This window comes from Homo sapiens, chromosome 2, assembly GCF_000001405.40.
Source record: "Homo sapiens chromosome 2, GRCh38.p14 Primary Assembly".
Lineage (NCBI taxonomy): Eukaryota > Metazoa > Chordata > Mammalia > Primates > Hominidae > Homo > Homo sapiens.
This window is the reverse complement of record NC_000002.12, coordinates 229357154-229378485: the sequence shown is the minus strand read 5'-3', so window position 1 is coordinate 229378485 and position 21332 is coordinate 229357154. Positions and strand designations below refer to the sequence as shown.

Sequence of the window (21332 nt, the reverse complement as noted above, 5' to 3'; positions counted from 1 at the left end):
CCACAGTGTCCTGCTTTCCCTTCCTTGAGCAGGTCAAGGTCATCCCTGCCTTCAGGACCTTCACCCATGCTGTTCCCTATGCCTGGAGCTCTCTTCTTTCAGATTTTAGCACAGCTGCCTTCTTCTCATTCAGGTCTCAGTTCAAAGGTGCCTTCCCTGACCATCTGTATTAGTTTCCTCTTGTCACTGTAACAAATTACCACAAATTGAGTGGCTTAAAACAACACAGATCTATCACGTTACAGTTCTGGAAGGCAAAAGTGCAAAATGGGCCTCACTGGGCTAAAATCAAGAGACCAGCAGGGCTGTCTTCTTTCTGGAGGCTCTAGGGGAGAACTTGTCTCCCCTTGCCTTTTCTAACCTTAAGGCTGCTCACATTTCTTGGCTCGTGGTGCCTTCTGCCTTCTTCAAAGTCAGAAATGTCATTTTGACCTCTGCTTTCATTCTCATCACTCAATTGTCAACTCTCCTACCTCCTTCTTTCACTTATTAGGACTCTTCTGGTTGCATTGAGCTTGTCCAGATAATCCAGAATAATCTCTCCATCTCAAGATCTCAATTTAATCACATTAGGAAAGTCATTTTTGCCATATAATGTATTGATAGGTTCTGGGCATTAGGACATCTTCAGGAGACCCTTATTCTGCCTTTCGTACCACCCACCAATGGTATCTCATTCCTCTCTCTTTGTTCTTAAATATTACAATATTTGGGGATGAGGTAGAATTAATTTTATCTGTTAACGCATCACCCTAGTTATTTGCCCCTTTGGGGTAATTATCTGGCCGCCAGTCAGTAATAAGAAGCAGAAATCTAACAGACCACACAGATTTATCAAAACTATCAAGAAGATTGATCCAGGACCATCCTAATAGAATCGATCAAATAGCTGTAGTGATTTACACATGTTTTAAGGCAAATGAAAACCCACAGTTCTGGAAATTAACAGAACATCAGTGAAGTTTTAATTTTCTGCCATTCATTTTTACCACCTTGGGACTGATTATAATTTTTTCTGAATTATAATAAAAGGAAAATATGCCTTCCTAGAATCAAGGTCTAAAAATCAAAATTTCTATGAATCTTGACATAGCAGTGTTGGTGTGTTTTGCTTTGTTTGAGTAAGCTTTATAAAGTTAGAGTTATAGTTAACCTCATTGACTGACAGTTGGCCAGTTTTGTATATTAAACAGTTGAATCTATGGTTAAATACAGTTAAACTATTGAATTAATGATATTTTGCAGTTGAGAAATAGGCAAATAGGCTATTTTAGATTTATGCATTCAATCAGGAATCAGTGGCTCTTTATTGTCAGGCATTGAGTGTAGTTCTGGAATATAAAGGTTAATGAAACATACCCTGCCTTTGGGAGCTTGTAATCTGAGGGCAGGTTTGAATATATGATGAGTCACCGTAAGGCTTTGCACAGCCACCTCTAGACAACCAGGGAAAGGGAAAGTAACTCATCCTGGGGCCAGAGGTATAGATGGATGTCTTGGGCCTCTTCCTTTAACAATAGATGGAATTTAATAATGGTTAAAGAAATGTATCAAATGATTATATTATATGGGCAGTTCTTATTATACAAATAGGTTGGCTCTTTGGTTCTCATTTTTGTATAAACCAAGATGTTTAAAAAATAAAATTAATTAATATCTCTCCTTATCCAGATCCCCACCTCACTCCTTAAAGGTAACTACTGTTAGACATTTATTGCATATTCTTCTAGATGCATCAGTCAATAGATAAGTTCCTATTTTCTCCTGTACAAATGAGAGTTTTATACACACTCTTCAACATATTGCTTTTATTGTAACAGTATATCCTGAAGGTGCACCCACACTACCTTATGCAGATCTACGACACTTTTTAAAATGTCACATGGTATTTCCATTCTTTAGCATCTCCAAAATTTATTTAATCAGACCCCCATTGATAGATAATACATTTGAGGGGTTTTGCTATTTAAAGCAATACTAGAATGAATATTCTATATATGCACCTGTCTTAGTTTGCTTGGGATACTATAACAAAATACCTTACAGTAAGTAATTGCTCACAGTTCTGGAGGCTGAGAAGTCTGAGAGCAAGGCACTGGCAGATCCAGTGTCTGACGAGGGCTCATTCCTCATAGATAGGGCCTTCTGGCAGTGTCTTCACATAGTGGAAGGGCAAGGTGGCTCTCTTGGGCCTCTTTTATAAGGACATTAACCTAGTTCATGAAGGCAGAGCCCTCATGACTTAATCACTTCCCAAAGACTACATCTCTTAATACCATCGCTTCGTTGATTAGTTTATTAGTTTGTTTTCATACTGTTATAAAGAACTGCCTGATACAGGGTAATTTATAAAGGAAAGAGGTTTAATTGACTCACATTTCAGCATGGCTGGGAAGGTCTCAGGAAACTTACAAGCACGGCAAAAGGCGAAGGGGAAGCAAGTCACCTTCTTCACAAGGTGGCAGGAAGGAGAAATGTTGAGTGAATAGGGAAGAACCCCTTATAAAACCATCAGATCTTGTGAGAACTCACTTTCATGAGAACAGCATGGGGGACCCGCCCCCATGATTCAGTTACTTCCACCTGTCTCTCCCTTGACATGTGGGGATTATGAGGATTATGGGGATTACAATTCAAGATGAGATTTGGGTGGGGACACAAAGCCTAACTGTATGGATTAGGCTGCAACATTTAAGCTTGGGAGTCACATACATTCAGATCATAGCAGCATCTTTGTGCTTATGTAAGAATATCAATAGTAGAAATTCTCAAAGATAAAATTGTCAAAGGGTTTTTGCATTTAATATTTTGATTTTGGTTGGTGATTATCTTTTAACTTTTCATGAGCATTTCATTATAAGTTGGCTTTTTGCCTTTTAGAACTTTTCCCCTTGGAAGCAATGGTGGTGGGGTCCAAGGGTAACTTGCAAATCCCACTGAATCCATAATTACCTTTAGTACATACTTGGAACACCAGGAATGCATCCTCTCCTTCTCAGGGAGGGATTGTGGCTAGATGTGGGGAAAGCATACTGATTGAGTGGAAAGAATGCTGTTGTGGAGTTTTGTGGTTGATAACTCAATTCTGTGAGTTGAGCTGTTTTGAATTCTAACTCAGGTATTTATCCCTGGGCCAGAAAACAAGGTCTCTGAGCCTTAGGCCTTGATAAATGGGATAGTAAATGTAACCAATATTGTTCAGTGACTGGTACATAGTAGATACTTAATAAATGATTACCTTAATTATTATCATCAGCTGTCTTTCTCTTTGAACAACTAAAAGTCTCTGGGCATCTGCTGAAAATGAAATTTCCCATCTCTGATGGAACCTGGGTAAACTAGATACTTTTGGGTTAATAACCAATTTGCTGCAAGTACAGAATATTATAGGACCACAGGCATTATACAGATAGGTAGTTGTTATTGATGTGATTCGATCTTGACTTTTTTATTCCAAAAAATCTCATGAGGAGGAACATTCCATTGCCTCTCTGAAGAGCTCTGATGGATGTGTACAGCATAGGGAAATGCTTTTCATGCCTTTTGAGTGCAACCCACAGTAAGTAGTATGTTTTACATCTTGACGCTGCATGTAACACACAGCCTAATATACACACAAACACACACAACATAAAATAATACTTAACTTTTTATAAGTGTACAAACTCTGAAATAGTTCTCTAAATTTTTTTTTTTAAATGTGAGTCTGGCCCCATTACATTGATTTCTACAATCTACAGTTTGCAAAACATTCCTTATTGATTGAAGTGTGTGGCTTTAGAACCAGGGCACCTGGGCTTAAACTCAGGGGCTGCCACTTACTGTGTGTAACCCTGGGCACATAGCTTTCCTCTTAGAGTCTCAGTTGCTTCCTATATAAAATGAAGGCAATAATAGTGTCTACCTCAAAGCATTGTAGGAGGAATAGGTGAGTTAACGCCTTAACACTTAGTGTCCAGCACAAATGGAACCCTCAATAAATATCAGCTCTTACTAACCAAAATGATGAGCTAAACATCAAAATTTAACTATTAGACATAACTACTTGGGTGTCTTAAAGGTACTTCCAATTCATTTATTTGTTTATTCAACTTTTATTTTAGATTCAAGGAGCACATGTGCAGGTTTTTACCTGGGTACATTGTGTGATGCTGAGGTTTGGGATATGAATGATCCTGTCGCCCAGGTACTGACTATAGTCCCCATTAGTTTTTTAACCATTTCCCCCCTTCCTTTCCTTACTCCCTAGTAGTCCCTAATGTCTATTGTTGTGGCCTCTATATCCACAAGTACCTGATGTTCAGCTCCTATTTTTTTTTCTTTTTTAAGACAGGGTCTCACCCAGGCTGGAGTTCACTGGTGCGATCTCAGCTCACTGCACCCTTCGCTTCCCAGGCTCAAGCCATTCTTGTGCCTCAGGCTTCCAAGTAGCTGGGATTACAGAAATGTACCATGACACCTGGCTACTTTTTTTGTATTTTTAGTAGAGATGGAGTTTTTCCATGTTGGCCAGGCTGGTCTGGAACTCCTAAGATCAAAGCTATCCACCCACTTCGGTCTCCCAAACTGCTGGGATTACAGGTGTGAGCCACCGTGCCTGGCCAGCTCCCACTTATAAGTGAGAACATGTGGTGTTTGTTTTTCTGCTCCTATGTTAATTCACTTAGGATAATGGCCTTCAACTGCATCCATATTGCTGCAAATGACATGATTTCACTCTTTTTTTATGGCTGCATGGTATTCCATGCTGTATATGTACCACATTTTCTTTATTCAATCCATCTTTGATGGGCAGGCACCTTGGTTGATTCTGTATCTTTGCTATTGTGAATAGTGCTGCAGTGAACGTGCAAGTGCCTGTGCTTTTTTGGTAGAACAATTTGTTTTCTTTTGGATACATACCCAGTAATGAGATTGCTGAGTTGAATAGTGGTTCTAAATTCTTTGAGAAATCTCCAAACTGCTTTCCACAGTGGCTGAACTAATTTACATTTCCACCAACACCGTGTTCCCTTTTTCCCTCAGCCTTGCCAATATCTGTTGTTTCTTGACTTTTTAATCATCGCCATTCTGACTGGTGGGACGTGATTATCTTATTGTGGTTTTGATTTGCATTTCTCTGATAATTAGTGATGTTGAGCATTTTTTCATGTTTGTTGGCCACTTACATGCTTTCTTTTAAGAAGTGTCTGTGCATATCTCCTGCCCACTTTTGAATGAGGTTATTTGGTTTTTGTTTGTTCAATTGTTTAAGTTTCTTACAGATTCTGGGTATTAGACCTTTCTTGGATGCATCATTTGCGAATATTTTCTCCTCTTCTGTCGGTTGTCTGTTTACTCTGTCAATAGTTTCTTTTGCTGTGCTCTTTAGTTTAATTAGGTCTCACTTGTCAATTTTTGCATTTGTTGCGATTGCTTTTGAGGATTTAGTTATATGTTCTTTCCCAAAGCCCATGTCCAGAATTGGTACCTCCAATTTAACATGTATAAAACCAAACTCAGAATCTTCCTCTCAAATCTGGTCGTCTCACTCGGCTACAGCACCTCATCCATCCAACGATAAAAGCCAGGAAACCAGGAATTGGCCTCCTGGTTTCTCTCCCCTCATTGGCCTATCTGTACAAGCTGCATTTAGTCTGGTTGATTCCCCCCTAACACAGCACTCACATCCATTCCCCTCTCTCTGTCTCCATGCCCATCACCATAGGTCAAGTTACCACTAACCCTGCCCCGTCCTACAGGAGCCTCTGAACCAGCCTCTGTCCTTGCTCCTCAAACCCTTTCTTCATGCACAGCCAGAAGGATCTTTTCAAAGTGCAAATTGGAACACTCAGACCCTCCCTCCCACTGTTTCCAACACTGACTGTGCCAAGCTCCTATTAAAATAAATAAGTTACTAAAGACCCAAGGCCACACTGCCCTATCCTTCAAGGAGATCCCTTCTCCTTGCTGCAGCCACTCTCTGCCTCTCTCTCAAGCAGTCATGCTGTTCTTCCAGCCCTTGTTCTTCTCCCTCACCCCCCTCCCACAGGCCTGTGCTCACTCTGGTTCTTTGCCTGTGCAGTCTCCCCTCTGCTCTTGCCCGTCCCTGGTTAGTGCCCACTCATAACCTAACTCCGTAAGGGCTCCTGTTGTGCAAGCTCTCTTGGCAGTCAGTGAGGTAAAATATCTCCTGTCCTCCTGCTGCACTGAAGAGCTCGTCCCTTGTAGACATAGCACAGTTGTACTTTTACTTTGTTTTGGGGATCATTTGCCTGATCCCTGCATCCCTCAGAAAACTGGGGACTACATGAGCCTACTTTTCTCTCTATTTTCCCTTGCTTTCCATCCCTGTCACTCAGCACTGTGCCTGGCACATAGTAGGTCCTTAATTAATGTGCTCAGTGAATGGATCCCCATAAAGGAGACGATCTCTTTCATTCCCTTTTCGCATTCATTCCTCTTCCAGAGATTAACAAGAGTTGTTAATCTTTTTCAATCTCACTGACTGCTTTGATTGTCCTGCTAACCTTTAACTATAGAAAACAAAGTAATTTGACATCCCTCCTCACAATTGTTCTAGGCAACAAGTAGTCTTAAAAATTCTTAAGCTAAGTAACATCTTCTTAAGAAACAGTCTTTTTAAAAATAACATAGGTATTTTTAACTTGCTCTTTTTAAAAATAACTTGCTCTTTTTAAAAATAACATAGGTAAGCAAATTAACTAGTGTAGCTACATTCATCTAGGTAAATTAAAAAATAGATATGGGCTATGTATTTTAGATGCAATATGTAAATTGACTGGAGTCTCTTTTTGGCAGAGTGGAGGTGGGTCTGATTTTATTCTCAGCTTGGCCACTGACTGTCTGCCTCACCTTGAGCAACTGCTCCAAGTTTAGCACCTCTGCCTAGCTCAAGGTGTTTGTTTAGGGCCAACTGAAATGCTTAATGCAAAAGCACTTTGGAAAATACAACACCTCAAACAAATCTAGTTTAAAAACATGAAAATGATCTGTCAGACTCACAAGCGTGACATTTTTCTTGAGCAGCTCGTGCACATGCATTCCTGGTCATGCACCTGCTGGGGCTGATGAGATGAACCCATCTGGCATATTCTGGTTCACAATTCTTCCCAGTGCCATGCTGTAGCAAACATAGTCAACAATTCATGTGATGAGACTCCTGGGATGCAGCAAAGCAATGACTTATGAGGATAGCATCTGGACTGAGAGATGGTGGTTGCAGGCACCTGGCATAGATAAATTTGCTGTCTCTCAGACCTAGCGTTGGACTTAGCCAGATCCATCCCAGCTACTAAACCAATTAGCCTGTAAAGCAGCCACAGTCATTTGTATCAAAAAAGTTTTAGATGACAGTGAGGTGGAATCTAGCTTTAAAGAAAAGGGCAGGGGGAGAGAGGAAAGCAGAGCTTTTAGGAGAAATCTTGAGAAAGTTTTTCCAAAAGTCCGAACAGCTTGGAATACAGAGTTTTGGGAAACGGAGCAGATGGTCATAAATGCAAGCAGTCAGACCTGGGACACTGCACTGAGCACATAGCCCAGTATGGTTGTTTTTTTCACTTTAGTGGCCATGTGGTTGTGCACTCACTGTGTATACACAATTGATGTGATGTGTAGGTTAATGCTATGAAGCTTATGCGTAGACTGCAAGAACTCATCAAGAACTCATGTGATCTTCCATAGTGATCAGATCTGAGCACTCTACCGAGTTGGAGGAGAAACATAGTACTGGCTGCCCTTGTGTTGATGCTAAATGGATGTTATAACATACTCTGCTGAGTGTTGGACTCCTGCCTGCAACTGAATTTTTTAGAGAATGTTATAATACTTGGAAATGAAGTGAATCACGCTTGCTTTTTCAGCCAGAAAAATGAGTTGTCTCTCTCAGTGCACACCAGGTATTGCCAAATGAGATGGCTGCAGATTTGGGGATTGAGCCTTGGTTCTGCTTTCCCCAAACACCTTCTCCCTTCCATCGTGACTGTTTCTGGTGATTTATGTTACTCAGTCTGCCTGTATGTGAGTTGGCTTAAATGAAGCAGTCAATGCAGTAATGGTCATTTAGTTTTACTAAGCTCCGTGGGCCTTATGAGCTCAGGCAGGCAGACTCAAATGACAAACCAGGCTTCAAAGGTTTTGGTGAAATATTCAGGAGGGTCTGGATGCAAACTCAGAAATCACATTATTCATCTGTTCTCAGATTCTCAGGAAGCATCCAGGATGGGCACGTGGGTCATTTTTCTGTTAGCTTCTAGAAAGTGGGTCTGCAGGCCTGGCCCCCTGTTTGGGTGTCTATCTGTGCTCTTCTTCAGACTGACTGCAGCTTTTCAAGGTAAGGAATAGCTAATTGTGATTCTTAGATCTATGATGACTGAAGATACAGCTAAGATGAAGGTGTGAGTATCCAGAGGCCACAAATACTCTCAACGATAATGGACAGTGAGAAGAGTCCTGTGGATTTCATGGAAAGACAGGCTCATTTCCATTTCCACTAACCTCTGAATCTCATTTGCAGGCACTTGGAATTCTACCATGAAAATGATGTCCTGGTGTGGGTGGGGAAGTGTGGAATGGTGGTGGTGGTGGTGTGAGTAAAGTAGAGAAAGCATCCTTTTTTCCATATGAGTTCAGCTTCTGTTTGGTCTTACCTAGCTCTTTAAAATTTCCACAATTTCTTTTCAAATCTTGTATACGCTATCTAGATAGTTTCATTTGGGTGCAGATCTATAAACAGGAAGTAACTTGATGTTCTTGACCTACGCCAATCACAGAGATTACATTGTGTCCTTCCAGTTTTTCCTGCTAATACAGGTTGGTGCTTTTAGGAAGGACACAGGGCCATGCTCAGTAATCCTCAGCTCAGAGCATGTGCCTTAGGGAACAGCATGTGACCCTTTATCCTTCCCTCCTCCACCACCACAGCTGGTCCTCTTTAGGGACCACCACCACATGTCCAGGAGTGGACTCTTTAACTTTTTTAGAAAGTTGAAACTTTTTTTTTTTAACTTTTTAGAAAGTTGAAACTTTTTTTTTGACTTTTTAGAAAGTTGAAACTTTTTGTTTAACTTTTTAGAAAGTTAAAACTTTTTTTTAACTTTTTAGAAAGTTAAAACTTTTTTTTAACTTTTTAGAAAGTTAAAACTTTTTTTTAACTTTTTAGAAAGTTAAAACTTTTTTTTAACTTTTTAGAAAGTTAAAACTTTTTTTTAACTTTTTAGAAAGTTAAAACTTTTTTTTTAAACTTTTTAGGAAGTTAAAACCTTTTTTTAACTTTTTAGAAAGTTTAACTTTTTAGAAAGTTAAAAAGTTTTAAATGTTTTAAAAACATGTTTCCTAACTCATGCTGCAGCAAGCCAATGGGGTATATGTTGTTATTTCCATTTTACAAACAAAGAAACCGAAGCTCAAGGAGATCAAGTAAATGTAGGAGCTGGATTGAAAGCAAGGTTGGTGTGATCCCAAGGCTGATACTATTTCCACTCTTATGCTGGAAGATGATCCTACAAATGTCTTCTTTAAATAATGTATTGCATATTTCTTTATTGGAAAAGGAATACATTCTTATTTTTAAAAATCTGGAAAAGACTCAGACATATACAGAGGAAAATAATCATTTTTAATCCTGTCTTTTAGAGATCACTGTTGTTAGTATGTTGCTGTGCAAAGGCCAAGACCTCAGATTCTGACTTGTATCAGAGGCATTCACTCCAAGTGATGTCAGTTCTCTAGGCCTCCTTTGTAAAGTGGGGAGAGAGAATAATGTATCTTCTGGTGGTTATAATGATTAAATGAGCTGTTTTTAAAGAGCTTAGTTTATAATAAGAAATCAATATATGTTTGCCATCATTATCATACTATCCTTTTGACCTTTTCAATGTGTATATAGACATTTTAAACTCATAAGATATTGTGAAATTATTGTACTGTCCAAGTAGATCCTGTTTGGTAACATGCTTTTATTCTTTTGTTGTTTAGTGGATATCTTTTCATCTCACTGAGTGTTAAATATTTAGATTTTTATTTTTTGACTTTAATAAATTATGCTGTTGCTGGTGGAATGGAGAGAGAGTATGGGGTGAGGGAAGTCTAGCTATATTTGTGTGTGTGTGTTTTTTCTTCTTTTGAGACAGGGTCTCACTCTGTTGCCCAGACTGGAGTGTGTTGGTGTGATCTTGGCTCACTGCAACCTCCATCTCCCAGGTTCAAGTGATTCTCTAGCCTCAGCTTCCTGAGTAGCCAGGACCACAGGCATGTGCCACTATGCCTGGCTAATTTTTGTATTTTTTGTAGAGAAACGGTTTTGCCATACTGCTCAGGCTGGTCTCAAACTCCTAAGCTCAAAACAATCTGCCTGCCTTGGCCTCCCAAAGTGCTGGGATTACAAGCATGAGCCACCATGCCCAGCCATATTTTATTTCTTTTTAAAAAACTATCTGAAAAAAAATCTAAAGAAAAATGGTAAAATATTAACATTATTAACTGAGCAGTGAGTACATGGTTGTCTGTGTGATTTTCTGAGCCTTTTTCTAAATATGGAATAGGTGATAACATTGAAAAATTGTGATATGAAGATAAGCATCTTCACACATAAGGCTTTATGCATTTCCTGAGCTACTTCCCCAGCATAAATCCTAAAATGGGAATATCTGGGTCAGAGCATATGCTAATTAGTAAATGAAACGGTTATGTATCAACTTGTAGTCCTTATTTCTGGGTACCCTTCCAACTGTGGTTATAATTTTAAAGTAATATTTGGGAGCTGATAGAGGAATTGTACTTTTTTGTAATTCTGAAGCCAAGTAATTTTCTATTTGTATTTTTTTGATGAATTCCTCCTTATATCCTTTGTTTTTCTGTGGCATATTTCTGGTTTTTCTTTTTTTGTTTGATGGAGTCTCACTCTGTTGCCCAGGCTGGAGTGCAGTGGTGCAATCTTGGCTCACTGCAACCTCCGCCTCCCGAGTTCAAGTGATTCTACTGCCTCAGCCTCCCGAGTAGCTGGGATTACAGACATCCACCACCACGCCCAGCTAATGTTTGTATTTTTAGTAGAGATGAGGTTTTACCATGTTGGCCAGGCTGGTCTCAAACTCCTGACCTCAAGTGATCCACCTGCCTCAGCCTCCCAAAGTGCTGGGATTACAGCCGTCAGCCACTGTGCCCGGCCTGTAGTTTTTCTTAGTTATTCTTAAGAAGTCCTTATGTAGTAAGGATATTAACCCTGGGTCTGGATAATCCGTAGAAAATAAGCCTTCCAAGTTTGAATGGCCCTTAGGTTTTAAGTTATCTATGCAAAGATGAAAAAGGCCTTCTCATTCTCAAAGGTGACAACTCATACCCAGCCATTTGCTTATTTTTGCCTGCAGACCTCCAATGGAAGTCCGGGCACATGGCGGAGAGCCTCACCAACATGCCACGGCACTCCCTCTACATCATCATTGGAGCCCTCTGCGTGGCCTTCATCCTTATGCTGATCATCCTGATCGTGGGGATTTGCCGCATCAGCCGCATTGAATACCAGGGTTCTTCCAGGCCAGCCTATGAGGAGTTCTACAACTGCCGCAGCATCGACAGCGAGTTCAGCAATGCCATTGCATCCATCCGGCATGCCAGGTTGGCTGTGGGGGCGGCGTGGGGAATGCTGCCTTCACATGTGCATTCTTGGGAACAGGGTCATATTATACACAGGACTTTCCATTTGCAAAGAGGAGATTTTAAAGAATGGAAAATAGGTTCCACATTGTATTTGGGGATAGATCATTCGACCACTTGATAAGCAAACTCCTTTTAATTTGCTGCTAGCTTTTCCTTTTGCTTTGTTTTGTTTACATTGAATATATTTGTTCATCTAATTTGGGTTGCTCTGTGACTATAAATATCTGATTCGTAATCGCTGTATATTGAAAACTTTTTTTGTTGAATTTTTTTGGGGAATGTCTTTTGCCCTGTTGCTCTTCAAACAGTCAACATATAAATGATTTCATTTGACGTAAGGGCCTAGCAAAAGAAGGATAAAGAGCTATCTTTCTACTTTTAGAGTGAATATTTATAAATCAGTATCCTTTTCTGGAAGAAGGACTCCAGAGGGACAAGGAGTTAGTGTGGTGTCATAGAAAGAGTGTAAGTTCTGGTGAGGTATAGCTTTGAGTCTTAATGACTCCGTTACCTGACTCGGTAGTTTAGACGGATCTTTTAACTTTCCACAAATATAGCTCCCTCAACTGTATAAAGGGATAACTCTCCCTCCTTGGAGAGTCATGACAGTCATATTAAATTACAAATATATATACTTTTTCCTTCAACTTTTGTTTTAAGTTCTGGGATACATGTGCAGGATGAGCAGGTTGGTTACATAAGTAAACTTGTGCCATGGTGACTTGCTGCACAGATCAACCCATCACCTAGGTATTAAGCCCAGCATCCATTACAAATATTAAAGATGGTATGAACAGAAAACCCCATATTTACTTCTCCAAATCTATTATATAACATTAAACAATCAACTAAGATAACATTTTACTGACTTTTGCAGAGTATGTGTTCCAAAAATAGCAATATTGTTTGTTGAAGTAAGCCATCTCTTCTTTTGTTAATTGAATAATCTCAAGCACACAATTCAGAAAGTAAGTGTGCTGTAGTGAAAAGTGGGCTGAGCTTGGTGCCTTAAGATTGGGGCTCAAGGGAAATGGGTGCTATATGATCTATCTTGGGATGTCCTATGTTGGTATCGGTCAAGACATGAGAAGACCTGGCTGGGTGTGCTGCCTCACGCCTGCAATCCCAGCACATTGGGAGGCCAAGGCAGGTGGATCACTTGAGGTCAGGAGTTCTACACCAGCCTGGCCAACTTGGTGAAACCCTGTCTCTACTAAAATACAAAAATTAGCCAGGCATGGTGGCGGGTGCCTGTAATCCTAGCTACTCTGGAGGGTGAGGAAGGAGAATCGCTTGAACCTGGGAATCGGAGGTTGCAGTAAGCTGAGATGGCACCACTGCACTCCAACCTGGTCGACAGATAGAGACTCTGTCTCAAAACAAAAACAAAAATCCCTGGGTTTTCTATCTCAACAGCACATATCCACATCCTTTCTCTTTTCTGTCCTTTTCATCTCCGTCTTGTTTCCATCAAGGACTTTTTATTATCTGACCTGGGCAGGCCCGTAGAGGTTGAGCATCCTTCCTGGGTACTGTCTCTGTGACTCCTCCTCATTTCCAAAGTTCCAAATCAGGCAGCCTAAGAGTCAGCTGCAGTCACCTTCACAGCTGTGCTCCTTTGGGACACGTCTGCCCTTCTTCACTGAGATTTTTATCCTTCATCAATGGGTTCTGTGTTTCTTTTGAATTTCTACTTAGCTTTTACTAGGTACATATTGGGAAAGTGTAGCTTCAGATTCTGGTTACAGTGGGAATGATAAGAAGTAAAAGTGAAATATCATGAATGTTTTCTTATATCTACCTAAATGTATCATAACAGCAACGACAAAGATAAGCACTGTAATCCCAGCTACTCTGGAGGCTGAGGCAGGAGAATCACTTGAACCCACGAGGTGGAGGTTGCAGTGAGCTGAGATGACACCACTGCACTCCAGCCTGGGTGACAGAGCAAGACTCTACCTAAAAAAAAAAAAAAAAAAAAAAAAAGAGAGAGAGAGACATGAGAAAACCCAAATTATTCTATCTGAATGGCATAGAAGCTAAGAGGTTCGAAGAGTTTGCTTTCTCCAAAAGAAATTCCCCAAACCCAATTCTCAGATCTTACAGTGATCTTGTCATTCTAATAGAAGCAAAAGCCAGAACTCAGCTTCCATGGGGAGGAGCCAGTGGGAGGGAGAACTTGGGAGACCCTGAGCATCTGCACCAGTGCTGAGGTGGGAGCTGCACCCAGTCTTGCTTATGTAACTGCGAGGGAGGACAGAGAACTCAACCCTCCTCCAGCTTGGACCCTGCATGGCTGCTCATCTTAGCGCCTTCCTTTCAGAGCGAACTGAGGCAATACAACAACCAGGAAGCCCTGATACCAACCCTTGCAAGCCCCACCTTAATTGTTTATTTGACTCTTTATGCCACTACCCTGTAAATAAAGGGTAGTAGCTTTTATTTCTATGTCTCCAGTGGGTCCTGGCAGGTAGTAGACCTCATTAACATTTGAGGTTTGAAATGAATGGATGATCTCAGTTAGGGGTTGGAATAGGGTGCCTTGACCGGCTTGAGAGGTAGACTCATCCCAGGGCACCAACTCAGTAAGTGGCCCCAGCCTAGAGGAACATTTGCAGTATCCTGAAATTACTGGATTGGAGATGAAGAACTTAAAAAGGAGCAGAGGAGGCCAGGCATGTGGCTCACACCTGTAATCCCAGCACTTTGGGAGGCTGAGGAGGGCGGATAATGAGGTCAAGAGATAGAGATCATCCTGGCTAACAAGGTGAAACTCCATCACCCCAGCCTGGGCGACAGAGGGAGACTCTGTCTCAGAAAAAAAAAAAAAAAAAAAAAAAAAAAAGCAGAGAATTGACAAGTTTCTTTGGTGCCCAAGAACCTTTTCTGTCCTCATCATTCCTGGAGGGGCTTTTTTACCAGGAGGGAGCAGAATCCATGGCATTGTATTCTCATGTGTTGGGAGACAATTAGGATTCCCTCTGCCCCTACAGGCATCCATGGCTACGATCCTTCAGGGCTCAAGTGGTGGAGTGTTTAACTCAGCCCCAAAATAGTTTAAGATAGATTCTGCTGAGCCTTCTGCTCATATGGCCCATGGGGAAGATATTTAACTGAATACTCTTGGAAGGAAAGAATAAACTTGAAAGCATTTACAAACCTGGCTCTTATTTGGTGCTGATTTATATCAAAAATATTTACTGCGGAATTCCTAACGGGCAAGCTCCTGCATGCACCAGTGACTGCAGATAAAACTATTGACATTAAAACAATACTTTCCCTTTAGGAAAACTTCTCTTCTGAACGTTTATTCAGCTCCAACCTGGGGTTTCTACAGCATGGCTGTGTAGAGGCCATGGCTGGGTCTCAGGCTGATTGGCCCTCTTTTCCTGGAAACCCTAGAAAGGCATTGGCAAAAACTTAGACCTTTTGATGTTATCCTCTCCATAGTTTTCAGCAGCCAGTGTCCATTTTATGGGCTGTCTCACTGCTACTATCCTGGAGGTGACATTGGATCAGAATGACTGCAGCCCAGCAGCCACACAGGGCACATGGAGTGGGTCACACGAGTGACTGAGGCTGTGTCGGGTGATTCTGATGTCAGAGTCTGTTGGTTGTAACTCCTAGTAGGGTTGAGAAGGAGACCCCTCCCTCTCTTCCTCATCCCAGGAGTCATCTGCAACATGCTTGCTTTGCTTGTACTCAGGCAGGGAAGAGCTTGTAACTGACCAGCAGGAGCAAAGCCAGGGTTCTCCAAGTTCTGACACTGAGGTCCCACTCAGTTGACTGCTCTACGAGCTAGAAGTGCCTGATCACGGGAAAAAGACAATGGAGGACATGTTCAGTTTTTTTCCCCAATAGCTCAAAACCTTCCAATTTTGGCCTTTCTCAAGATCTGACATTCTTTCTGCGGCATTGTTTTAGTGGTTGACTTTCAGAGGACCATGAACTAGCGGCTCTTTGACCTGCCTTATAACTGGTTACAGTATCTTTTGTTTCTTTGAAGAAATAGACACACAAGACTTGTCACCAAATAGGATGTTTGAGATGTCCGTGCTAACTGATATTACTGGTGCTGTCATTTCTGTTAGTGCCTCTGTGATGGCCAACACTTACTGAAAGCTTCCCGTGGGCCAGACACTGTGCTAAATCATTCACAAATAACTCATTGGCAAGCATCTCACAAGAATGTAGGGGACCATGTATCATTAGTCCCCCATTATAGGCAAAAGAAATTTGGGCTTAGTGAGATAATACAATTTACACAAGGGTCACAGAGTTTGTGAGAAAACCAGGACTTGTAAGTGAGATTTGTAAGCCAGAGTTTGTTAATGAGAAGGAGGATGTGCTGATTTGAAGGTGATGCCTTTCAATGCAGAAGTACATAGCCTCTTGTCAGGCACAGGTTAAGTGAGAGCTTCAGTTTATGGGGTCGTCACATGCATGAAGGTTGCAACGAAGTGTTCAGCATCTAGGCTTGGAAGCCAGAAAGCTCCACCTCCCACCAGGTGTGACCTTAGGAAAATTATTCCTAAGTGTCTGTTTCCTCATCTGTAATACAGGATAAATGAGATGTACTCACTTCACGAGGTTGTTATGATGATGAGATGAGATGATCAATCAGTGAAAACAAGACAATGGAATGTGATGTTGAGTGAGCACCAAGGACAATGGATGCATCACCCCTCGAGGGGCTAGGAAGGAGCCGCAGATGGAGCCACCACATTAGGGTATTTGAGCTATTTTTTCAGGAGGAGGGGGAGTGTGTCAACTCCTTCCCATCTTTTAAAGATCTGGCTTCCTCATGGACCATCAGCAGACATTTCCCAAGTGTCATGGTCTGTGGTCATGTCGTGGGCCATGAGCTACTTCAGGTGGGAACATGTTACTATGAACACTAAGTGTTCCACCCAGCCCGCCCCACCCAGCACAGAAGAAACATTTTCTTATTAATGTTTTAACTTGTAGGAATTTTTTTTTTTTACTTAACAAGAATGCTGAGTAAAACATTACACAGACTATCGATTGAAAAAAGTCAGTCTCAATACAGTATTCAGAGTATTTTCTCAATTTTGTTAAAATATGTAATATAATTATTATATATAATACTTTCAGAGGGGCTTCATACATATTTGTAAAATGAATGGAAGGGATGTGGGATTGAGGGATGGGCAGACTGAAGAATAATGCACAAAACATTGACACGTCCTTTGGAGAGCAGCACTAAGGGCGATTCTTGTGGTCTTCATCAGGGACCTGTAAAATGTTTTAGACTTTGCAGGCCATATTGTCCTGACTACTCAACTCAGCCTTTGTTGTGCAAAAGCAGCCAGAGGAAGTGTGAATAGGCTTGACTATGTTCAACTAAGACTTTATTTGAAAAACAGGCATCAGGCTGGAATTGGCCTGTGGACTATAGTTTGCTAACCCCTAGTCTATTTTATAATTTTCTCTAGCTTCCAATTTTATTTTGGTTTTTTTTTACATTTAAAATGTACCTTTATGATAAAAAGTAGTAGTTATTTTTAAAATGAACACTTGCATGAAAATGCCTGCAATAAAATAAACAGCCTCTGACATTGATTTAGTGCCTGAGATATTAAAAAAAAAAACACTGTTAGTCTTTTAAATGTAGACATGAATGCACATTCGTTTACCAACAAGTGTAAGCCTGCTACTGTGAGAGGTGTAGGAGATTCAAACAAAGTCTTTTCATTGTACTGTGTGTTTTAAAACTGTGGTGTTTCTATAAACGACGTCATTTTAGCTTCCATATGGTAGATACAGCATTTCAGGTGGAAACCTCCAAAATTCTCCTAAGGAATTTGGACAAAGTTCTCAGCAGCTAGTAAGTTGAAATGCAGGGATTCCAGCTCCAAGCCTGCCTGCTCTCTCTTCTGGTGCTGGGGCTATTAGTCTTATTTTAACCACCTTCGTAACTAGCATTATACTTTATGACCCATACTTGTTTGGAGTTAATCCCATTAGGACCGGGCCACACAGCTCAGTTAACCAGTGTGGACACAGAGTGGTGCTCCTTGCTCTTCAGTTGACCTTGAACATGCATAGGTGGCCATGTGGCTCACTCTTGAGAGGCATCAGCCCTTGCCTTGTCATACTCAGTGGATCTGTGGCTCACGCCTGTAATCTCAGCACTTTGGGAGGCCGAGGCGGGTGGATCACGAGGTCAGGAGATTGAGACCATCCTGGCTAACACAGTGAAACCCCGTCTCTACTAAAAATACAAAAAATTAGCTGGGCGTGGTGGCGGGCGCCTGTAGTCCCAGCTACTCGGGAAGCTGAGGCAGGAGAATGGCACGAACATAGGAGGTGGAGCTTGCCGCGTGAGCCGAGACCACGCCACTGCACTCCAGCCTGGGCAACAGTGCGAGACTCTGTCTCAAAAATAAAAAATAAAAAAAAGGATGTTTTAAAGATATATACAATTGGGTTTTTCCTTTCAGCCAACCAATCGAATAATTAGTTAGTTAATATAATTTGTTGGCCCTCAAGTCAAAGCTCTCTATATCCTACTATGTTAGATATGGAGAGCTCTTCACTGGGTTGCTGGATATTTTTGGTTAAATTATTATTAGTGGTGGTGTATCTAGGTATTTTATGAGAAATAAATTGTCAAAATGTTTGCATCTTAAAGCAGCCTAGGAAATTGTCAGACTTGGGAGAAAGTGTAAGACCCAACAGGCCTGTTGACACTTTTACTCTGTTGACACTTTTCCTATCCTTAGATTATGCAGGCCTCACTCAATTTAGGTGAACAAACTGCAGGCTAGAGCCTGACCCACATCTATGTGAGCACAATGGTGGACCTTCAGTGAGGCTTCACATTTTAGAAAGTATTTATTGAAGTCTTTTGTCATATTGCAGTAATAGCTGTGGGTTTTTCTGAGGGTAGAATGCTTTAACTCTTTAACCCCGTGTTTTGCCTGGTGCCTGTCTGGCATAGCATATGCCTTTGTGCTCTTCAAGGCCAGTAAAATTTGAGAGGATTGGAATACAAGATTGATGACTGTTTAAAATGAAAGATCACATGAAGAACGCACTGTTTTCTCATTTCCCGCTTGATTCTACTTCCCATCTCCATACATGAGAAGACAGACTTTCAACATATCAAAGGAAAAAATAGGAAAAGAGGAGAGTTGGGACAGGAGCCATGGCAAATAAGCCCCTTTAATTCCTAGGGACCCCATCCTAGGAACCTTGTAAAATTTAAGGTTCTTTTAAAATGTCTTTTTAAAGAGCCCTGGTGGAATTGAAACAATTAAAAAATGTTGTCCAGACAAAGGAGGAGGGAGGATGGGTTAGTGTGGAAGATCGTTTGAATCCTGTTGCACTCCAGGGCTTGTAGGGAAGGTGAGGTCTTGAATGGGAAGAGACCACCCAGAAGTTGAATTGGCTTTATTTTAATAATTGCCACCTTACGACAGGTTTGACAGGAAGTCCTGAAATTGGATTTTGACTCCCTTGGCTTCTGAGAGGCAGTCCTGCTGTCGAGGCAATTTTGATACATACAAATCTGTTGGGACAATGGCTTTGTGCTCTGAGGAAAACATTGGCTTCTGTGTCCATAAGGTTGGGAGGTGATAGGTGGGTGGGATTCAATGGTGAGTTCTGGCATAGTTTGTGGACAGACACCTCTGTATCTGAAGTCATTTCCCACCTCTGCCCTTTTGTGTTGGGATCTCAGATGACCTTAAACCTTCACAGCTTATCCCCTGAAAATCCCACAGGAAAGGCTGTCTGTCCATGGCCCGGGGAAGACTGCCCTGGTGTTCTATATTCCAGGCACTGGAGTAGATATAAAATAAACTCACCTCTCCAAATATTTATGGGCCTCAGAAGAAAAAGACAAATCAATACACATTTTCTTAAAATCTATTGTGGAGCTGTCATGCTTGACTGCTTTGCCAAGATTTAACCTGCAAGCTCCAACTTTGAGCTCTACATTTTGTGAAATATGTTTTTTTGCCTCGAACACCAAAGACTAATGTTTATACACATTCAGTGTTAATATTAGGATGTCTAAAGTTTCTATGCTTGCTATAGAATATGTTTTTACAGTTTCATTTAATTCATGCATATAAATTATTCTCATCACTTGCTTTAATTAAACTTGAGATCTAGTATTTATCTAACCAGAGTCCTTTCTCTCTGATTTCAGGTTTGGAAAGAAATCCCGGCCTGCAATGTATGATGTGAGCCCCATCGCCTATGAAGATTACAGTCCTGATGACAAACCCTTGGTCACACTGATTAAAACTAAAGATTTGTAATCTTTTTTTGGATTATTTTTCAAAAAGATGAGATACTACACTCATTTAAATATTTTTAAGAAAATAAAAAGCTTAAGAAATTTAAAATGCTAGCTGCTCAAGAGTTTTCAGTAGAATATTTAAGAACTAATTTTCTGCAGCTTTTAGTTTGGAAAAAATATTTTAAAAACAAAATTTGTGAAACCTATAGACGATGTTTTAATGTACCTTCAGCTCTCTAAACTGTGTGCTTCTACTAGTGTGTGCTCTTTTCACTGTAGACACTATCACGAGACCCAGATTAATTTCTGTGGTTGTTACAGAATAAGTCTAATCAAGGAGAAGTTTCTGTTTGACGTTTGAGTGCCGGCTTTCTGAGTAGAGTTAGGAAAACCACGTAACGTAGCATATGATGTATAATAGAGTATACCCGTTACTTAAAAAGAAGTCTGAAATGTTCGTTTTGTGGAAAAGAAACTAGTTAAATTTACTATTCCTAACCCGAATGAAATTAGCCTTTGCCTTATTCTGTGCATGGGTAAGTAACTTATTTCTGCACTGTTTTGTTGAACTTTGTGGAAACATTCTTTCGAGTTTGTTTTTGTCATTTTCGTAACAGTCGTCGAACTAGGCCTCAAAAACATACGTAACGAAAAGGCCTAGCGAGGCAAATTCTGATTGATTTGAATCTATATTTTTCTTTAAAAAGTCAAGGGTTCTATATTGTGAGTAAATTAAATTTACATTTGAGTTGTTTGTTGCTAAGAGGTAGTAAATGTAAGAGAGTACTGGTTCCTTCAGTAGTGAGTATTTCTCATAGTGCAGCTTTATTTATCTCCAGGATGTTTTTGTGGCTGTATTTGATTGATATGTGCTTCTTCTGATTCTTGCTAATTTCCAACCATATTGAATAAATGTGATCAAGTCAAGGATGCAGTTGTCTCTTTTGTTCTTTGAAAACTATATATAAAAAGTTTTGGATGTGATATTGTTTGCCAAACAATCCCATGGTTGATACCATATTAAATAACCTGAGGAGTGCACCTCTGTGGCTGCCGGAGCCCCCTCCTTTGCCTCTGCAAGGCTTTCTGACCTCCTAATTGTCAGTAAGCTCACCCTAGCTGCTTGTCAGTGTGAAGTGTGGAAAAAAAATAAGAATTCTTATCTGAAGTTTTATATCCGAATTTGCCAGTGAAATGCAGCACAAGTGAACGGTGGGCACACTGGAATCCGGAGATGCTTCCAGGCATTGAGGGCAGGCACCTGTGGCCTCAAGAAATACCTTGCGTGCTGCTATCCTGTGGAGGCGCTGCTATCCTGTGGAGGCTAAATGAAATTGCCTTAGCAAATAGCTCCATGGTTCTTAGAAACTTGAAGGCCGTTTAGAGCCACCCTATATTCAGTTCC

General features: G+C 40.8%; 1 protein-coding gene across 1 annotated transcript in view; it reads left to right on the top strand.

Moving 5' to 3' along the window:
- Positions 1-20857, top strand: part of DNER (delta/notch like EGF repeat containing) — a 356927-nt gene extending 336070 nt beyond the window's left edge. Inside the window, exons 12-13 of the mRNA NM_139072.4 lie at positions 11367-11613; positions 19835-20857. Of these exons, the coding sequence (NP_620711.3) occupies positions 11367-11613; positions 19835-19946 (359 nt within the window). The 3' untranslated portion in view covers positions 19947-20857. The remainder of the gene's footprint in view (positions 1-11366; positions 11614-19834) is intronic.
- Positions 20858-21332: the final 475 nt, after the last annotated feature.